The sequence below is a fragment of the Homo sapiens genome, chromosome 19 (genome assembly GCF_000001405.40).
Source record: "Homo sapiens chromosome 19, GRCh38.p14 Primary Assembly".
Classification (NCBI taxonomy): Eukaryota; Metazoa; Chordata; class Mammalia; order Primates; family Hominidae; genus Homo; species Homo sapiens.
Genome location: NC_000019.10, coordinates 34,554,926 through 34,576,106, shown reverse-complemented (window position 1 = coordinate 34,576,106; position 21,181 = coordinate 34,554,926). Strand labels below are relative to the sequence as shown.

At 44.8% G+C, this 21,181-nt stretch overlaps 1 long non-coding RNA gene and 1 pseudogene across 3 annotated transcripts in view; one reads left to right on the top strand and one right to left on the bottom strand.

Moving 5' to 3' along the window:
* Positions 1–21,181, top strand: part of ZNF807P (zinc finger protein 807, pseudogene) — a 135,468-nt pseudogene that overhangs the window by 101,053 nt on the left and 13,234 nt on the right. The window lies entirely within an intron of this gene.
* Positions 17,123–20,613, bottom strand: LOC105372374 (uncharacterized). Its single transcript, XR_935923.3, has 4 exons — positions 20,261–20,613; positions 20,104–20,172; positions 19,635–19,681; positions 17,123–17,830 (listed from the first exon to the last, which is right to left on the bottom strand). It is a non-coding gene; the product is annotated as an uncharacterized LOC105372374 (long non-coding RNA).

The following is a 21,181-nucleotide window of genomic DNA, read 5'->3' as shown; positions in this document are numbered from 1 at the left end:
ATCCATCCCCAAACTAGGTAGCTGCAGGAACAAGAGAAATCAGGGAAGACTGGGAAGGGTCAGGTTCTCACCACAGCCCAGTCATCCCTGGCCTTGGCCCCAGACATTCACACACATACACACACACACACACACACACACACACACACACACACACACAGCAGGCCTAGAGCTGAAGGACACTTGTGAGTTTGCTGGAATCTGTTTAAGAAATAAGCTTGGTCCACGGTCCAAGAAAACTACATCCTTTTAAAGAAAATGAAAATATCATCAAGGGAAAAACATAATTTAAGTCAAATCGTGTCCTTTTGTCGTGGAGCCCCGTGCCCTGCTCAGACAAGGGCTTTCCTGCAGCGCAACCTGGGTGTCCCCTCGCGGCCGCTCCTGAGCGAGCCCCGCGGCTGGAGCTGTGCGGGGTTTTTCGCGGTGCTAGCAAGGGGGCTCCAGAAGAGGAAAAGAGGCAGGAACTGGCTGTCAACATCCATCAGATTCCCCAAGGCCAAATCCCACAGTAACCACGTGGCCACAGACAGTGCCCTTTGCAGGCCCCCTCTCCAAGGGTGTCATTCGTCACCCCCGCCTTGGACCCCACCCAAGCCAGTCACCGTCCCACCCACAGTGGGCACAGCGTTAGGAGATGCAGAACACGCGTGTCCCCGCCAGTCCAGCCTTCCAGTCTGCACCCTGCCCTGAAGGCATGCTTGGGGGACATGTCGGGGGACGGGGACGCGGTCCCGGGCCCCTGAACAAGGGACAGCCGCTCCCACGAGGACCTGCCAGGAAGACAGCCGGGTCACCTTGCACCGCTGAGTGTGGCCGCGGCTCTCTCCAGCCTGGTGGCCCAAGGCCTGCCTGGAGACTACAGGCTGCAGGGGTTCCCTGAGCGGAAAGCCATTGAGAAGGCCAGTGGGAGGCAGGGCTGCGCAGAGCAGTGGCTTGAGCAGCCCCAGACAGTGAATACATAGAATCTTCCCTGAGGGCATCAGGCCCCTGCAGGGAGCAGCTTGGTAGGAATGAGGCAGGAGAACAGGGTCTGGAGGCACGGAACCTAAGGCCGATTCACTCTGACTTCCTAGAACTAAATCAAACAGAAAACAATTTTTCAAACCTAAGTAAGAAAAGGACCAGAGACTACTCCCTTTGCAAGCCTACTTCCCCTTTTTCTGTGTGGCAGATGGAAAATTGAAAGTATCTGATTGGTTGCAGAAAACAACCAATTGCTTGCCACAACCAATCAGATGCTTGCATAGGGTGTAACTTTTGTAATTTCACCTCAGCCTCTGTTTGCTTTCTGCAACCGATCAGACTGATTGTGGGCCACTGCATCATTTACATAGGATGGACACCAAGTAACCAATGGGAAACCTCTAGAGGGTATTCAAACCCCAGAAAATTCTGTAACCTGGGGGCCCCTATACTCGGGCCTGCTCCCAGCAGCCTGCTTCCATCATGTGGAGTGTTTTGTTTTGTTTTGTTTTGTTTTGTTTTGTTTTGTTTTGTTTTGTTTTGTTTTGTTTTTGAGACGGAGTCCTCACTCTGTCGCCCAGGCTGGAGTGCAGACTGGGTTCAAGCGATTCTCGTGCCTCAGTCTCCCAAGTAGCTGGGATTACAGGCGTGTGCCACCACGCCCGGCTAGTTTTTGTACTTTTAGTAGACATGGGGTTTCACCATGTTGGCCAGGCTGGTCTCTAACTCCTGATCTCAAGTGATCTGCCCTCCTCAACCTCCCAATGTACTGGGATTACAGGCGTGAGCCACCGTGCCCGACCATGTAGTGTGTATTTTTGTTTTCAATAAATCTTTGCTTTTGTTGCTTCATTCTTTCTCTCATCACGTGGAGTATACTTTCATTTTCAGTAAATCTCTGCTTTTGTTGCTTCATTCTTTCCTTGCTCTGTTTGTGCGGTTTTTTTTTTTTTTTCCAATTCTTGCTTCAAAACGGCAAGAAACTGGACACCCTCCACAGGTAACAGGAAGGTGGGATGGGGGGAGCTCACCCTGACACTGATCAGGGCCACCCACGTGCCCCTCCCCCCACACCCATACTCACTAGGGCCCTGGGTGGAGCTTCCCCTGCTGCTCACAGCTCGGTGAGTGGCCAGGCCAGCAAGCACCCCCAGCTGCGCCCCTCTGCTGATTTTGCCCCTGGTCACCCAGGGTCAATCAGGGTCCAGTCAGGTGACAGAAGTCACAGGCAAGTGGCTTCAACACCCACATATGTAGGACCTTTTCACTGTGTAACATGTGATCCTAACGCACTTTCTATACCTCACATCCTTTAGGTTCTGCGTTTTATTCCAGGTAATGTTCCTTGAATCTAAACTACAATTTACTAATTTTCTCGAAAGCTGCACCTAATCTGCTACCCATTCAGACAAACAAACTCACTTATCAAATGTTTGTTGAACCGGCACTCGGTGGCAGATTCTGTGCTAGGGCGAGCCAAGTGCAGACACATGTTTGCCAAGACACACGGTCATGCCTCAGGGCCTCCTGGGTGCACATGCACACATGGACCTGCGGGCTGGCGCCACAGTGCTCAGCCTGCTCCCAATCCCACGGTGCTCCAGGGAGGACAGAGGATGTCACAGCAACACCCAACCCATCCCACTGCATGCTGAGCTTAGTTTCTGATACACTGTCACCCAAAGGCATGGCCCAGGGCCGTGGGTCTCTCTGCAGACGTGCCCTGCCCCCACTTACACACACACATACACACACACACACACACACACGGACACACGAAGAAATGTGTCTCATTTCTACCTGTGGGATTTTAACTTAAGGTGGTGACTGAGTGACCACAAAGAGAGGCCAATGCAATGGAAAGCAATTATTACTTACATTTCCTAGGGGCACACCATGCCACACAGGGCCACATGGAGAGCACCAGTGTTGATCAGGAGGCAGGAGCAAGGGGAAGGCATAGGCAACAGCCTTTATTGGAGTTTTCATGGGACAGGCCAGGCAGGGCAGAGTAAACAGCTTATGGTTAGCTAATTTGAATAACTCCGGCAGGCTTTGGCCTATAGTGTTGGTCTCTGGTTACCTGGTACCTGGTCGTGGGGTGCTTCAGTGCAGGGGAGATATTGGCATGGGGGTGTGAGAGTTGGATAAAGAGGTAATTGGGGCTGTAGACTCAGGATCAGTTGGTTGTATATGAGAGAGGTGCTCTGGGTCAAGCGCTTTGCCATCTCTAAGAAAAGACTAATCCTGGGAGGGCAGTCTCTCCAGAGCCAGTAAACTTTAAAAGATGTCATCATAAAACGCAGAAAATAAAAAGCATAAGCACACCAAGTCACAGGGTAAGTGGATGTTTACCTTTTTACAAACTGACAAATTGTGTTTCAAAGTGGTTATACTACATTACATGCCCTCCACAGTGTTATGAGGATTTCAGGTACTCCATATCTTCACCAACACTTGGTATAGAGAGTCTTCAATTTTCACCATTCCCACTTGGTGTGTAGTGGTATTTCTCTGTGATTTTACTTTGTATCTCCCTAATGACTAATGTTTACAATTTTTATTTGTACTACTGCCATCCCTCTATCTTCTTTGGTTAACTGTCTGTTCAAATCTTTTGCCCATTTAAACTTTTTTGTTTTATTATTGAGTTTTGAGAGTTTTTAGTAAATATTGGATGCAAGTCTTTCTGTAGATATGTGATTTGCCAGTATAGTCTTCTAGCCTAAGGTTCATTTTCTCCTTCATCTTAACAGAGTCTGTTCTAGAGCAGAAATTTTTACTGATGACAAAGTTGAACATGTCATTTTTCCTTAGATTGAACATGTTTTTGGTGCATATTTCAGAAGTATTTGCCAAGATTTAAAAAATTCTCTCATGTTACTTAATGAAGGTTTCATACTTTCAGGTTTATAATCCATTTTGAGTTAGTTCTTGAATATTATATACCATGTGAGGTTTGGGGTCACAGCTTGTGGTTTTGTTTCTTGGGTTTTGTTTTAATATGGATGTCCAGTTGTTCCAACAACACTTGTTGAAAACACAATCTTCACTGAATTGCCTTTGCACCTTTCTAAAATATCATTTGATCTTAGATGTGTTGGTCTATTCCTGGACTTTCTTAATCTATATTTTTGCTAATATTTTAAAGTCTACTTAACATAATTAAATAATACGTCTACAAATCAGGCAATATAATTCTTTAACTTTATGCATCTTTTTCAATTTTTTTGCTATTCTAAGTCCTTACTTTATGCATTACCATATAAATTTTAGAATTCACTTGTTATTTTCTAATATAAGCATCATGGGATTTTGATTGAGATTGCATTGAATATATATATATATTTTTTCTTTTCTTTTTTTTTTTGAGACACAGTCTCGCTCTTTCACCCAGGCTGGAGTGCAGTGGCATGATCTCGGCTCACTGCAAGCTCCACCTCCTGGGTTCATGCCACTCTCCTGCCTCAGCCTCCAGAGTAGCTGGAACTACCGACGCCCACCACCACACCCGGCTAATTTTTTGTATTTTTTAATAGAGACGGGGTTTCACCATGTTAGCCAGGATGGTCTCAATCTCCTGACCTTGTGACCCACCCGCCTCTGCCTCCCAAAGTGCTGGGATTACAGGCATGAGCCACCGTGCCCGGCTGCATTGAATAAATAAATATATATATATATATATACACACACACACCAATTTGAAAAGAATTAAAACATTAATGGGTTTAAAACATTGTCAGTTTACCCACAAAGGGAAGCCTTTGTGCTCTAATCCATAAATGTGGTATATCTCTCCCTTTATTTAGATCTTTAATTTTCTTCCACAATATTTTGTAGTTTATAGTGTACATCTTATATGTATTTCAGTTGCACATCTTATATATATGTCTCAAGTATATATCGTATGCTCTCGTAAAAAGCCAGCACTTTGGGAAGCTGAGGTGGGCGGATCACCAAGGTCAGGAGTTCGAGACCAGGCTGGCTAACATGGATAAACCCCATTTCTACTAAAAATACAAAAAATTACCCAAGCATGGTGGCGTGAGCCTGTAATCCCAGCTACTCGGGAGGCTGAGGCAGGAGAATCACTTGAACTGGGAGGTGGAGGTTGCAGTGAGCCGAGATCATGCCATTGCACTCCAGCTTAGGCAACAAGAGTGAAATTCCTTCTCAAAAAAAAAGTACTCTTTTAAATTTCAGTTTCAAACTGTACATAGAAGTATAATTTTTATAAAAATCATTGTCTACCCTGGAAACTATAATTTCATTTATTCTACATTTTTGTTCACAGATTCCATGAGATTTTCTCCATTAATATTTATATTGTATCAGGGGAACCTGCCCCCAATATTTCAACATAGGTTCTTTCTATTTTCCCTAAGTGTTGGCCGGTCTGAGAAATAAAGAGAGAGAGTACAAAGAGAGGAATTTTACAGCTGGGCCTCCAGGAGTGACATCACATAATGGTAGGACCGTGATGACCACCTGAGCCACAAAACCAGCAGGTTTTTATTAAGGACTTCGAAAGGGGAAGGGGTGTATGAACAGGGAGTAGGTCACAAAGATCACATGCTTCTGAGGTCAATAAAGATCCAAGGCAAAGGGCAAAGCAAAGATCACAAGGCAAAGGGCAAAATTAGAATTACTGATGAAGGTCTATGTTCAGCTGTGCACGTATTGTTTTAATAAACATCTTAAACAACAGAAAACAGGGTTCGAGGGCAGAGAGCCCGTCTAACCTCAAATTCACCAGGGTGGGGTTTTTCCCCCCCTAGTGAGCCTGAGCATACTGCAGGAGACAGGGCGTATTTCAGTCCTTATCTGAACCGCATAAGACAGACACTCCCAGAGCGGCCATTTATAGACCACCCCCCAGGAATGCAATTCTTTTCCCAGGGTCTTAATTATTAATATTCCTTGCTAGGAAAAGAATTCAGTGATATCTTCCCTACTTGCATGTCTGTTTGTAGGCTCTCTGCAAGAAGAAAAATATGGCTCTTTTTGCCAGACCCCGCAGGCACTCATACCTTATGGTTGTCCTCCCTTGTTCCCTAAAATCACTGTTATTCTGTTCTTTTTCAAGATGCACTGATTTCATATTGTTCAAACACACATGTTTTACAATCAATTTGTACAATAGTGGTCCTGAGGTGACATACATTCTCAGCTTACAAAGATAACAGGATTAAGAGATTAAAGTAAAGACAGGCATAAGAAATTATAAGAGTATTATTTGGGAACTGATAAATGTCCATGAAATCTTCACAATTTATGTTCCAAGATTGCAGTAAAGACAGGCATAAGAAATTATAAAAGTATTATTTGGGATCTGATTTATATCCATATTAAAATGAAATCTTCACAATTTATGGTCCTCTGCTGTGGCTCCAGCCAGTCCCTCTGTTCAGGATCCCTGACTTCCTGCAACAATGTTGTCAAAAATAAGTTCAATTTTATTTGTTTGTTTTCAAACTGGCCACTGTGAAATTTATTGGAATAAGATTATTCATATTATTCCTTATTACCCTTTTAGAATCTATAAAAACTGGGTGTGGTGGCCCACTCCTGTAGGCCCAACTACTCTGGAGGCTGAAGCCAGTGGATTGATTTAGCCCAGGAGTTCCAGGATGCAGTGAGCCATGGTCGTGCCACTGCACTCCAGGTGGGGTGTAAAAATAAATGAATAAATAAAATCTATAGTATCTAGTGATGTCACCTCACCTGTACCTAACATTGATAATTTGTGTTTTCTCACATTATTTCATGCTAGATCCACAAAGGTGGATCTCTTTTATTGATCTTTTCAAAAAATCAGTTATTGATTTCACTGGTTTTTCTCCATTGTTATTTTGCTTTCCATATCATTAATTTCTTGCTGATCTTTATTATTTCCTTCTTATTTTGAGTTTCAGTTGTCCTTTTTGAAGTTTTTTAGGTTGAATCTGTCATTGATTTGACACATTTCTTTCCTGAGATAGGAATTTTAATCTACAAATTTAGCAGCATCCACAATTCTTTTTTGGTTTGGATGGAGTCTTGCCCAGGCTGGAATGCAATGGTAGGATCTTGGCTCACTGCAACCTCCACCTCCTGGGTCCAAGCAATTCTGATGTCTCAGCCTCCCAAGTAGCTGGGATTAGAGGCACACGCCACCACCCCTGGCTAATTTTTGTATTTTTAGTAGAGACAGGGTTTCTCCATGTTGGCCAGGCTGGTCTCAAACTCCTGACCTCAGGTGATCTGCCTGCCTCAGCCTCCCAAAGTGCTGGGATTACAGGCATGAGCCACTGCACCTGGCCCCACAATTCTTTTTGTATGCTGTGCTGTTGTGTAATATGATACTGGCCCAGCACCGCTCTAGTCTTATCTCTGGAGATTCCTGGGTATCCATCTTTAATGTTTGGTAAAATAAACTAGTGAGATTCATGAAGAGCTCTTTAAAATCTAAAATCCTGAAGGGTGGCTGGCAAAATGATGGAATAGGAAGAGCTCCGGTCTGCAGCTCCCAGTGAGATCAACACAGAAGGCAGGTGATTTCTGCATTTCCAACTGAGGTACCTGGCTCATTTCATTGGGACTGGTTAGACAGTGGCTGCAGCCCATGGAGGGTGAGCAGAAGCAGGATGGGGTGTTGCCTCAACAGGGAAGCACAAGGGATTGAGGAACTCTCTCCCCTAGCCAAGAGAATCCATGAGGGACTGTGCTATGAGGAATGGTGCATTCCAGCCCAGATACTATGCTTTTCCCACAGTCATCACAACCCACAGATCAGGAGATTCCCTCTGGTGCCTACACCACCAGGGCCCTGGGTTTCAAGCACAAAACTGGGCAGCCATTTGGGCAGACACCGAGCTAGCTGCAGGAGTTTCTTTTCATACCCCAGTGGCACCTGGAATGCCAGCAAGACAGAACTGTTCACTCCCCTGGAAAGGGGACTGAAGCCAGGGAGCCAAGTGGTCTAGTTCAGTGGATCCCATCTGCATGGAGCCCAGTGAGCTAAGATTCACTGGCTTGAAATTCTCGCTGCCAGCACAGCAGTCTGAAGTCAACCTGGGACACTAAAGCTTGGTGCAGGAAGGGGTGTCCACCATTACTGAGGCTTGAGTAGGCAGTTTTCCCCTCACAACATAAACAAAGCCACTGGGAAGTTCAAACTGGGCAGAGCCCACCACAGCTCTGCAAACCCGCTGTAGCCAGACTGCCTCTCTAGATGCCTCCTCTCTGGGCAGGGCATCTCTGAAAGAAAGGCAGCAGCCCCAGTCAGGGGCTTATAGATAAAACTCCCATCTCCCTGGGACAGAGCATCTGGGCGAAGGGGCAGCTTTGGGCACAGCTTCAGCAGACTTAAACATTCCTGCCTGCCAGATCTGAAGAGAGTAGCAGATCTCCCAGCACAGCACTCGAACTCTGCTAAGCGAGAGACTGCCTCCTCAAGTCGGTCCCTGACCCCCATGCCTTCTGACTGGGAGACAACTCCCAGAAGGGGCCAACAGACACCTCATACAGGAGAGCTCCAGCTGGCATCTGGTGGGTACCCATCTGGGATGACGCTTCATGAGGAATGAACAGGCAGCAATCTGTGCTGTTCTGCAGCCTCTGCTGGTGATACCCAGGTAAACAGGGTCTGAAGTGGACCTCCAGCAAACTCCAGCAGACCTGCAGCAGAGGTGCCCATTAGAAGGAAAACTAACAAACAGAAAGGAATTGTATCAACATGAACAAAAAGGAAGTCCACACCAAAACCCCATCTGAATGTTAACAACATCAAAGGCCAAAGGTAGATAAATCCACGAAGATGGGGAGAAACCAGCACAAAAAGGCTGAAAATTCCAAACACCAGAACACCTCTTCTCCTCCAAAGGATCACAACTCCTCACCAGCAAAGAAACAAAACTGGACAGAGAATTAGTTTGATGAATTGACAGAGGTAGGCTTCAGAAAGTGGGTAATAACAAACTCCTCTGAGCTAAAGGAGCATGTTCTAACCCAATGCAAGGAAGATAAGAACCTTGAAAAAAAGCTTAGATGAATTGCTAACTAGAATAACCAGTTTAGAGAAGAACATAAATAACCTGATGGAGCTGAAAAACACAGCACAAGTATTTCATGAAGTATACACAAGTATCAATAGCCAAATTGATCAAGCAGAAGAAAGGATATCAGAGACTGAAGATCAACTTAATGAAATAAAGCATGAAGACAAGATTAGAGAAAAAAGAATGAAAAGGAATGAACAAAGCCTCCAAGAAATATGGGACTACGTAAAAAGACCAAACCTACGTTTGTTTGGTGTACCTGAAAGTGACGAGGAGAATGGAACCAACTTGGAAAACACTCTTCAGGATATTATCCAGGAGAACTTCCCCAACCTAGCAAGACAGGCCAACATTCAAATTAAGGAAATACATAGAACACCACAAAGATACTCCTTGAGAAGAGCAACCCCAAGACACATAATCATCAGATTCACCAAGGTTGAAATGAAGGAAAAAAATGTTAGGGGCAGCCAGAGAGAAAAGTCAGGTTACCCACAAAGGGAAACCCATCAGACTAACAGTGGATCTCTCTGCAGAAACCCTACAAGCCAGAAGAGAGTGGGGGCCAATATTCAACATTCTTAAAGAAAAGAATTTTCAACCCAGGATTTCATAGCCAGCCAAACTAAGCTTCATAGCAAAGGAGAAATAAAATCCTTAACAGAAAAGAAAATGCGGAGAGGTTTTTCACCACCAGACCTGCCTTACAAGATCTCCTGAAGGAAGCACTAAATGGGGAAAGGAACAATTGGTACCAGCAACTGCAAAAACATGCCAAATTGTAAAGACCATTGTTACTATGAAGAAACTGCATCAACTAATGTGCAAAATAACCAGCTAGCATCATAATGACAGGATCAAATTCCCACATAACAATATTAACCTTAAATGTAAATGGGTTAAATGCCCCAATTAAAAGACACAGACTGGCAAATTGGATAAAGAGTCAAAACCCATTGGTGTGCTGTACTCAGGAGACTCAACTCACATGTAAAGACACATATAGGCTCAAAATAAAGGGATGGAGGAATACTTACCAAGAAAATGGAAAGCAAAATAATAATAATAATAATAATAATAATAACGCAGGTGCTGCAATCCTAGTCTCTGACAAAATAGACTTTAAGCCAACAAAGATCAAAAGAGACAAAGAAGGGCATTACATAATGGTAAAGGGATCAATTCAACAAGAAGAGAAAACTATCCTAAATATATATGCACCCAATACAGGAGCACCCAGATTCATAAAGCAAGTTTTTAGAGACCTACAGAGACTTAGACTCCCACACAATAATAGTGGGACACTTTAACACCCCACTGTCAATATTAGACAAATCAACAAGACAAAAAATTAAAAAGAATATACAGGACTTGAACTCAGCTCTGGATCAAGCAGACCTAATAGACATCTACAGAACTCTCCACCCCAAATCAACAGAATATACATTCTTCTTAGCACCACATTGCACTTATTCTAAAACTGACCACATAATTGGAAGTAAAACACTCCTCAGCAAATGCAAAGGAATGGAAATCATAACAAACCGTCTCTCAGACCACAGTGCAATCAAATTAGAACTTAGGATTAAGAAACTCATTCAAAACTGCACCACTACATGGAAACTGAACAACCTGCTCCTGAATGACTGACTACTGGGTAAATAATGAAATGAAGGCAGAAATAAATAAGTTATTTGAAACCAATGAGAACAAAGACACAATGTACCAGAATCTCTGGGACACATTTAAAGCAGTGTTTAGTGGGAAATTTATGGCACTAAATGCCCACAAGAGAAAGCAGGAAAGATCTAAAATCATCACCCTAACATCACAATTAAAAGAACTAGAGAAACAAGAGCAGACAAGTTCAAAAGCTAGCAGAAGACAAGAAATAACTAAGATCAGAGCAGAACTGAAGGAGATAGAGACATGAACAACCCTTCAAACAAAATCAATGAATCCAGCAGCTGGTTTTTTTGAAAAGATCAACAAAATAGATAGACCACTAGCCAGAATAATAAAGAAGAAAAGAGAAAAGAATCAAATAGACACAATAAAAAATAATAAAGGGGATATCACCACTGATCCCACAGAAATACAAACTACCATCAGAGAATACTACGAACACCTCTATGCAAATAAACTAGAAAATCTAGAAGAAATGGATAAATTCCTGGACACATACACCCTCCCGAGTCTGAACCAGGAAGAAGTTGAATCCCTGAATAGATCAATAACAAGTTCTGAAATTGAGGCAGTAATAGCCTACCAACAGAAAAAAGTCCAGGACCAGGTGGATTCACAGCCCAATTCTACCAGAGGTACAAAGAGGAGCTGGTACAATTCCTTCTGAAACCATTCCAAACAATAGAAAAAGAGGGAATCCTCTCTAACTGATTTTACGAGACCAGCATCATCCTGACACCAAAACCTGGCAGACGGAAAACAAAAAAAGAAAATTTCAGGCCGATAGCCCTGATGAACATCAAAGTGAAAATCCTCCATAAAATACTGGCAAACCGAATCCAGCAGCACATCAAAAAGCTTATCCACCATGATCAAGTCAGCTTCATCCCTGGGATGCAAGGCTGATTCAACATACATAAATCAATAAATGGAATCCATCACATAAACAGAATCAATGACAAAAACCACATGATTATCTCAATAGATGCAGAAAAGGCCTTTGACAAAATTCAACACCTCTTCATGCTAAAAACTCTCAATAAACTAGGTATTGATGGAAAGTATCTCAAAATAACAAGAGCTATTTATGACAAACCCACAGCCAATATCATACTGAATGGGCAAAAACTGGAAGCATTTCCTTTGAAAACTGGCACCAGACAAGAATGCCCTCTCTCACCACTCCTATTCAACATAGTATTGGAAGTTCTGGCCAGGGCAATCAGGCAAGAGAAAGAAATAAATGGTATTCAATTAGGGAAAGAGGAAGTCAAATTGTCTCTATTTGCAGATGACGTGATTGTATGTTTAGAAAACCCATCATCTTAGCCCCAAATCTCCTTAAGCTGATAAGCAACTTCAGCAAAGTCTCAGGATACAAAATCAATGTGCAAAAATCACAAGCATTTTATATACCAATAATAGACAGCCAAATCACGAGTGAACTCCCATTCACAATTGCTACAAAGAGATTCAAATACCTAGGAATACAACTTACAAGGGATGTGAAGGACCCCTTCGAGGAGAACTACAAACCACTGCTCAAGGAAATAAGACTGGATACAAACAAATGGAAAAACATTCCATGCTCATGGATAGGAAGCATCAATATCATGAAAATGGCCATACTGCCCAAAGTTATTTATAGATTCAATGCTATCCCCATCAAGCTACCATTGAATTTCATCACAGAATTAGAAAAAACTACTTTAAATTTCATATGGAACCAAAACAGACCCCGCATAGCCAAGACAATCCTAAGCAAAAAGAACAAAGCTGGAGGCATCATGCTACCTGACTTCAAACTATACTACAAGTCTACAGTAACCAAAACAGCATGGTGCTGGTACCAAAACAGATATGTAGACCAATGAAACAGAATAGAGACCTCAGAAATAATGCCACACATCTACAACCATCTGATCTTTGACAAACCTGACAAAAACAAGCAGCAGAGAAAGGATTCCCTATTTAATAAATGGTGTTGAGAAAACTGACTAGCCATATGCAGAAAACTGAAACTGGACCCCTTCCTTATACCTTATACAAAAATTAACTCAAGATGGATTCAAGACTTAAATGTAAGACCTAAAACCATGAAAACCCTAGAAGAAACCCTAGGCAATACCATTCAAGACATAGGCATGTGCAAAGACTTCATGACTAAAACACCCATATCAATGGCAACAAAAGCCAAAATAGACAAATGGGTTCTAATTAAACTAAAGAGCTCCTGCACAGCAAAATAAACTATCATCAGAGTGAACAGGCAACCTACAGAATGGTAGGAAATTTTTGCAATCTATCCATCTGACAAAGGGCTAATATCCAGAATCTACAAAGAACTTAAACAAATTTACAAGAAAAAAACAAAAACCCCATCAAAGTGGGTGAAGGATATGAACAGACACTTCTCAAAAGAAGATATTTATGCAGCCAACAAACATATGAAAAAAAGCTCATCATCACTGGTCATTAGAGAAATGCAAATCAAAACCACAATGAGATACTGCTTCATGCCAATTAGAATGATGATCATTAAAAAGTCAGGAAACAATAGATGCTGGAGAGGATGTGGAGAAATAGGAACACTTTTACACTGTTGGTGGGAGTGTAAATTAGTTCAACCATTGTGGAAGACAGTGTGGCAATTCCTCAAGGATCTAGAACCAGAAATACCATTTGACCCAGCAATCCCATTACTGGGTATATACCCAATGGATTATATATCATGCTACTATAAAGACACATGCACACGTATGTTTATTGTGGCACTGTTCACAATAGCAAAGACTTGGAACCAACCCAAATGCCCATCAATGATAGACTGGACAAAGAAAATGTGGCACATAATACAGCATGGAATACTATGCAGCCATAAAAAAGGATGAGTTCCTATCCTTTGTTGGGACGTGGATGAAGCTGGAAACCATCATTCTCAGCAAACTAACACAAGAACAGAAAACCAAACACCGCATGTTCTCACTCATAAGTGGGAGTTGAAGTTGAACAATGAGAACACATGGACACAGGAAGGGGAACATCACACACTGGGGCCTGTTGGGGGGTGGGGGGCTATGGGAGGGATAGCATAAGAGAAATACCTAATGTGTAGATGGTGGGTTGATGAGTGCAGCAAACCCCCATGGCACATGTATAGCTATGTAACAAACCTGCACGTTCTGCACATGTATCCCAGAACTTAAAAGTATAATAAAAAAAAAATTTTAATCTAAAATCCCTCATGGCCCCAAGGGCCATTGTGTCTACCAATGGCTTTTGCTGTGGTCTAAATGTTTGTATCCCCCCAAAATTCCTGTGTTGAAATCTAATCATCAATATGATGGTTTTGAAAGGTGTGGGGCCTTTGAGAGATGATTAAGTCACCAAGTTGGAAGTCCCATGAATGCGATGAGTGCCCTTATAAAAGAGGCCCCAGACAGCTGTCTTGACCCTTCAGCCACATGAGGACACAGCTAGAAGACACCCTCTAGGAACCAGAAAGCAGCCCTCACCAGACTCTGAATGTTCTGGCATCTGGATCTTAGACTTCCCAGCCTTCAGAACTACGAGGAATAAAACTCTGTTGTTCATAAGCAACTCAGTTTATGGTTTTTGTTACAACAGCCTGAACAGACTAAGACACCTTTACCTGGCATGAGTGTCTAGACAACTGGTTCTGGTCATTTAGCCAGAGAAACATAAAAGACCTTGCTTGGAACTTTTGCTCTGAGCTCTTCCAAAGCCAAGATTGATTGAACAGATCTTGTTGGCTCAATCAAGAAATGAAGCATGTCGTGTGTGAATATGAATTTTTGGGGTATCCTTCCTGGAGAACTTGAGAATATAAGTAAATATTAATAGAATTGATTATAAGCCATTTAATAAATTAAGAATGAGCCTGATTTCTGCCTCAGACCATGATCTAATGAAATGACCAGAATTTTTTCTTGCTTTCAACAAGAAGAAAACCAGATGCAATATATGAAAACAGTAACACAATTTTCAAGCATTGGACAAGAGGCAATGAAGGACTGGGATCTCAAGGAAGAAGATACAAAGTATGTGTGTGATAGCTAACCTTGTTTTAACCTGAATTGACTCTCCCTTAGCTGAGAGAGCCAGACAGACCCCATCTTGGCTCCTACACTTACAGCCCCTTACCCACCCCTTCCTCAAGGACTTAACTTATGCAAGCTGACTCCCAGCACGTCCAAGGATGCAATTAGCTGATAAAATACTGTGGCAAGCTATATCCACAGTTCCTAGGAATTCATCTGGTTGATAACACCCAAAGCCCCGCGTCTATCACCTTGTGAAAGATTTAAAGCCCTGCACCTGAAACTGTTTGCTTTCCTATAACCATTTATTCTTTTAACTTTTTTGCCTGCTTTACTTCTGTAAGGTTGTTTTCACTAGACTGCCTCCCTCCCCTTTCTAAACCAAAGTATAAAAGAAAATCTGGCCCCTTCTTCGGGGCTGAGAGAATTTTGAGCACTAGCCGTCTCTCGGTCACCAGCTAATAAAGGACTCCTGAATTCGTCTCAGAGTGTGGCATTTCTCTGTACCTAGCTCAGTTACAACATTTGGAGGCCCCAGCAAGATTTTTTTGTCACCGGGTGAGAGCCAGACTCATTCCAGGCTCCCCTGGACAGACAGCAGACTTATAGGGGAGGCACCACCAGAAGACGTTCCAGGGCCCCATAAGACCCTATCTTCCAGACGGGAATGGATCGACCACTGGTGTGTGCCCACAAAAATTCAACTCCTGAGTCCTCAGTTTCTGGTCCTGGGAAAGTAAGTCAGATCTGACTCTGTTTCTCTGGGAGGGAAACGGCTCTGACAAGGCCCTCCCTTTTTGACTCTGCCCACATTCCAGGACGCTGGAGGACAGAGTCCTGGTTTTCTGTTAGGCACCTCTGTGTCTCTCTGGGAGGGAAGCAGCCCTGACGATGGCCCTCCCTTGACTCTGCCCATGTTCCAGGACACTGGAGGACAGAGTCCTGGTTTTCTGTTAGGCCTCTCTGTTAAGACTAGTCTCTATCTCTCTCTCTCTTTCTCTCTCTCTCTCTCCCTCCCTCCCTCTTTCTCTATCTCTTCTCCTTCTCTCGTTCAGGTCTCCCGGAGACCTCTGTTTTGGAAAGGGAATAAGAAAACTGTTATAAACTCTGTGTGAATGAGTGCGTGAATGTGGAGTTCAAGGGCTTGCACTTGAATTTCCAGTATGTAGCTCCACGGTGAAAGCTACGGAGTTTGAATGGGCCCTCACCTGCAGTTCCGTGGTGACCTCTTAAGGCTTAAGGCAGCATCAGGCATAGCTCGATCCAAGCCAGGGGTTTATACCAGCCTGCCAATGCTAAGAGGAGCCTAAGTCCCCTCAGGGAGAGTGGCCAGATGGGCATCTGACTGATCCCATCACGGGCCCCCCTTCCTTTGTCTGTCTATTAAAAAATTGTCATAATTGTTTGTATGCCCCAGGGTCTATTGTCTTGTTTGGTAAAATTTCATATGTCAGGTCATCAATACTGCCCTAGACAACTGGGTAAGAACTTCTTCAAGGTCCTCAGTACTGATTTTCTATCACAGGAGGTCAAATTTCTCATCAATCATTTGGGTTGGCCATCCCAGTCCTGCCTTTTCTGTCAGAAACAAATCAGGTGTTGTTATGGGAAAGAGTGTGGGATTTCTGGCACCTTAAAGGTTGCTGGCATTTAGATTGCCATACCCCATGCCCAATTGACTGGACCACCTCCACATTAGACCGGTGGTGGATTCAAAATAGCCACCCCACAGACCTCCTTGCTCATCTTTTCTGTCATCCCATAACTTTTCCCGTGCCCATGGATAAGGCACTGTGCAGAGAAACCTACGCCCATACTGCTGTACTCTGTCCAGAGGTCTCAGGCGTGTCTCTTTGGGCTGTCAGGCCCAGGGGCGAGGCACGCCTCCACCAGTTTACAAAAGAAACAGCCTCCTTCCCCCATGGCAGGGGCTCCCTGACCTGTGGGCAAGGACTGGAGGGTGACGACGCCGGATCCCCTCCCCCGGCACCCCCTCCCCCGGGACCCCCTCAGGTGCCCGGCTCCTTTGCCTTCAGTTGTCAAAGCCCCTGACTTCCCAGAGCACCAGCGCATCCGCACCCAGCTCAGAATGCAAGGGCCCAGCCTGCTGCAGTGAACTTGGTCCCAGGCCAGGCTTCTGAGCTGGGCTTGCAGCGTCTGACAGGGCCTGGAGGCAGGGCGGGGGACCGCAGAGTGGCCCTGGTGACCCAGAGCTGCCCGGCATGGCTCCTCCTAGCCTGGAAAAATCCAAGTGGCCCCTTTTCCTCCTCATTCCCATCCTTTACCCTGCACATCTCATTTTCCTGTGTTGCAGCAAATCCAGTGTCTCCAAGACTTGGTTCTGTCCTCCCTTTTTCAACCCTTAAAAGAAAAGGCCAAGTTTGAACTTTTTGCCTTCAAGTCATGGAGACACCAAAGATATTTAGGCTATAGGACAAAAAGGAGGGGATCACGTAGGTCCCACTGGCCTCAGACCTGCCTCTTGTCCTCCCCCTAGATCTCAAAGCTTAAACAGACCGTCCTTATGTGGCAAGAAGTGTTGACTATGGTTGTTTTCCTTCTTCTTCTGGTTATAATACTTCTGTTCTTCTGATACTGCAGCCCCCCAGGTCTTGAATTTCTCTGTCTGTGCTGGGTTTAATATTTCTGCTGAAACCTTTTTAAATTGCCTCCAGAATGGGAAACTCTTCTTCCCAGCCTCATAAAGATTGGAGCCCTCTCCAATGTATGTTACAAAATTTCTCCCTAGGCTTCTCAGAGAATTATGGGGTCCACCTTAAAAAAGGCAAACTCCAGATACTCTGTGAAGTAGAATGACCACAGTTTGGAACCGTGTGGCCCCCAGAAGGGTCACTGAATCTCACAGCTCTTCAGGCTGTGTGGCGGGTCGTTGCTGGAACTCCCGGTCACCCCGATCCGTTTCCCTACATTGATCAATGGCTGAGATTGGTCCGGAGCCCTCCCCCTTGGCTCCGCTCATGTGCCATTCATAATCTTACCTCCAAGGTCATTTTAAGCGAGACCACACACTTTTGTCCGGATCCTCAGCTCCCTTGGCTCCTCCTGTATTGCCTCCCTCTGAAGAAGAGGAAAGTTTTCCTCACACAGTTCTGCCACCTTATAACCCTCCTGCTCCCCCAGAATCTCCCCTTGCCTCCTCAACTACATCTCCTGTGGCGTCCCCATCTATTGCCTCCTGATTGTGGCCATGGCAGGAGGAGGTAGCCCCCCTCCTCCCACTGAGAGAGGCACAAATCCCTCCGGGTGATGAGCGCTCAGCTCCATTCTTAGTTTACGTCCCTTTCTCTACTTCTGACCTGTACAACTGGAAGGCTCATAATCCCCCCTTCTTTGAAAAACCCCAGGTTCTGACCTCACTGATGGAGTCCATGCTCCAGACTCACCGGCCCACCTGGGATGATTGTCAGCAACGCCTTTTAACCCTCTTCATCTCTGAAGAGAGGAATTGTATCCGAAGAGAAGCCAGAAAGTATTTCCTTACATCAGCTGATAGACCAGAGGGGGAAGCCCAAAACCTCGTTAAGGAGGTTTTTCCCTCTACCCGGCCTAATTGGGATCCTAACTCCTCGGGTGGGAGGAGGGCTTTAGATGATTTTCACCGGTATCTCCTTGTGGGCCTCAAGGGAGCCGCTCAAAAACCCATAAATCTGTCTGAGACAACTGAAGTTGTCCAGGGGCCTGATGAACCTGGAACACTTTTAGAAAGTCTCCAGGAGGCCTATCAAACTTACACCCCTTTTGACCCGGCAGCTCCCAAGAATAGCCGTGCTATTAATTTGGTGTTTGTGGCTCAGGCAGCTACTGATAGTAAAAGAAAATTACAAAAGCCGGAGGGATTTGCTGGAATGAACAATAGCCAGCTTTTAGAAGTAGCCCAGAAAGTTTTTGACAATCGAGAGTCTGAAAAACGAAAACAGGCAGCTGAGGCAGCTGAAAAAGCTGCTGATAAAGCATCCAAAAGACAAGCAAAAATCTTAGTGGTGGCCATCCAGGAAGCCAAAAAGTAAGGGCCCCCATCACAGAGGAATAGCCAGGGAACCCCGGGTCCCAGCCAAAAGGGCAAGAAAGGTGAGCGGGCTCCCCTGGAGAAAAACCAATGTGCTTATTGCAAGCAGATAGGACACTGGAAGAAGGAATGCCCATTAAAGCCAGAGCAAAAACCAGAAAAGAAAAAGGTCCTCACCCTCCCCACAGCGGAGGAGTCTGATGACTGATGGGACTGGGGCTCCCTTTCACTTGGCCCCCAGGAGCCCATGGTGACCGCTACAGTGGGGGGCCAGCATGTATACTTCCTAATAGATACTGAGGTGGAACACTCAGTACTGCAGACACCCTTAGGCAGTGTCTCTAATAAAAGAGTAGCTGTACAAGGGGCAACAGGAGCTATTCAGGAATATCCTGTCACCCACTCATGATAAGTGAGTTTAGGAAAGAAAAGAGTAACTCACTCATTTCTTGTAGTCCCAGAGTGCCCCCTTCCCCTTCTCAGATGAGACCTGCTCCATAAGTTACAGGCTTCTATCTCTCAGCCCAGCAGGCTCACTTCACGTTAGGGGACACAACGCCCCCTACTGCCCAACTCCTGCTAACTACCCCTCTGTCAGAGGAATATCTTTTGGTTTCACCATCACAACCATTGGAGAATAAAACAAATTCTCTCCTCCTATTAGACCTACAGACTGTTTCCTCGAGTCTGGGCTGAGTCAAACCCCCTGGGATAAGCAAAGCATCATCTGCCAGTAGTTGTAGAACTTCTGGCCACTGCCCTGCCAGTCCAGATAAAACAGTATCCTATGAGTCAGCAGGCTAGAGAGGGGATAAATCTCCATATTCAGTGACTGCTACAAGCTGGCATACTCACACCATGTCAATCCACCTGGAATACTCCATTTTTGCCGGTCCAGAAACCTGGAACAAATGATTACCAGCCTGTGCAGGACTTGAGGGAGGTTAACAAGTGGACAGTTACCATCCATCCAACTGTCCACAATGCTTATACTTTACTCAGCCTGCTCCCACCAGAACATACAGTATACACTGTCCTTGACTTAAAGGATGCCTTCTTTGCTATTCCTCTGGCCCCCAAAAGCCAACCTATCTTTGCTTTTGAATGGACAGATCCTGGCTCAGGAGATACCACCCAATTAACTTGGACTCAGTTACCTCAAGGCTTTAAAAATTCCCCCATCCTTTTTGGGGAAGCCCTCCAACAGGATCTTATACCATTCTGAGCCAGTCACCCCAATTGTACTATTCTTCAGTATGTAGATGACTTATTGGCTACTGAAACTACTGACAGCTGCCTGCAACATACTAGGGACCTACTTTACCTCCTTCAGGTGCTCAGGTATTGGATCTCGGCCAAAAAGGCCCAGCTTTGTCTTCTTAGAGTGTCCTACCTAAGGTACAAGATAAAGAAAGGAAAAAGGGCACTCACCAGTGTGAAGCCATCCTGTGAATCCCCACTCCCACCACCAAGAGACAGACCTTACTATACCTGTCCATGACTGCCAAGAACCGTTGGAGACTACGGAATCTGGCCGACCTGATCTCCAAGAGGTATCTTTAAAGGAGGCAGAAGCCACCGTGTTTAGAGATGGTAGCAGCTTCCTTGAGCAGGGAGTTCAAAAGGCTGGTGCTGCCATCACTACAGAGATGGATATACTGTAGGCCCAAGCACTGCCAGCAGGTGGCTGTAATTCACTGCAAAGGACATCAAAAAGAAGACATGGCCATTGCCCATGGTAACCAAAAAGCAGACTCTACAGCCTAGGAGGCAGCTCGTCTCCCTGTTGCACCTCTGACCCTGCTGCCTGCAGTGTCCTTTCTGCAACCTGACTTGCCAGATCACCCAAAATATTCCCCAGAGGAGGAAAAACAGGCTTCGGATCTTCAGGCCAGTAAAAATCAGGAAGTCTCTCCAACAGGTACAAGACATCATCCAGCCGCTTGTCCGGGGAGCTCACCCCAATCCAGTTCCTGACTAGACGGGGCCCTACCACTCTTTCCAGCCGGGTGACCTCATGTACATTAAAAAGTTCCAGAAAGGACTCATTCCTGCCTGAAAAGGACCTCATACTGTCATCCTCACCACACCAACGGCTCTGAAAGTAGATGGCATTCCAGCTTGGATTCATCAATCTCACATCAAAAAGGACAACAGAGCCCAACAAGAAACATGGGTCCCCAAGCCTGGGCCAGGCCCCTTAAAACTGCCCCTAAGTCAAGTGAAGCCATCAGATTAATTCTTTTTATTTACCTCTATTGTTTGTTTCCACCTATTATGCCTTCTGCCCCATCCTACTCTTTCCTCCTCACTTCTTTCACAGCAGGATGTGTGTTTGCAAACACTACTTGGAAGGCAGGAATCTCAAGGAAGTCTCTTTTACAGTTGATTTATGTACTTTG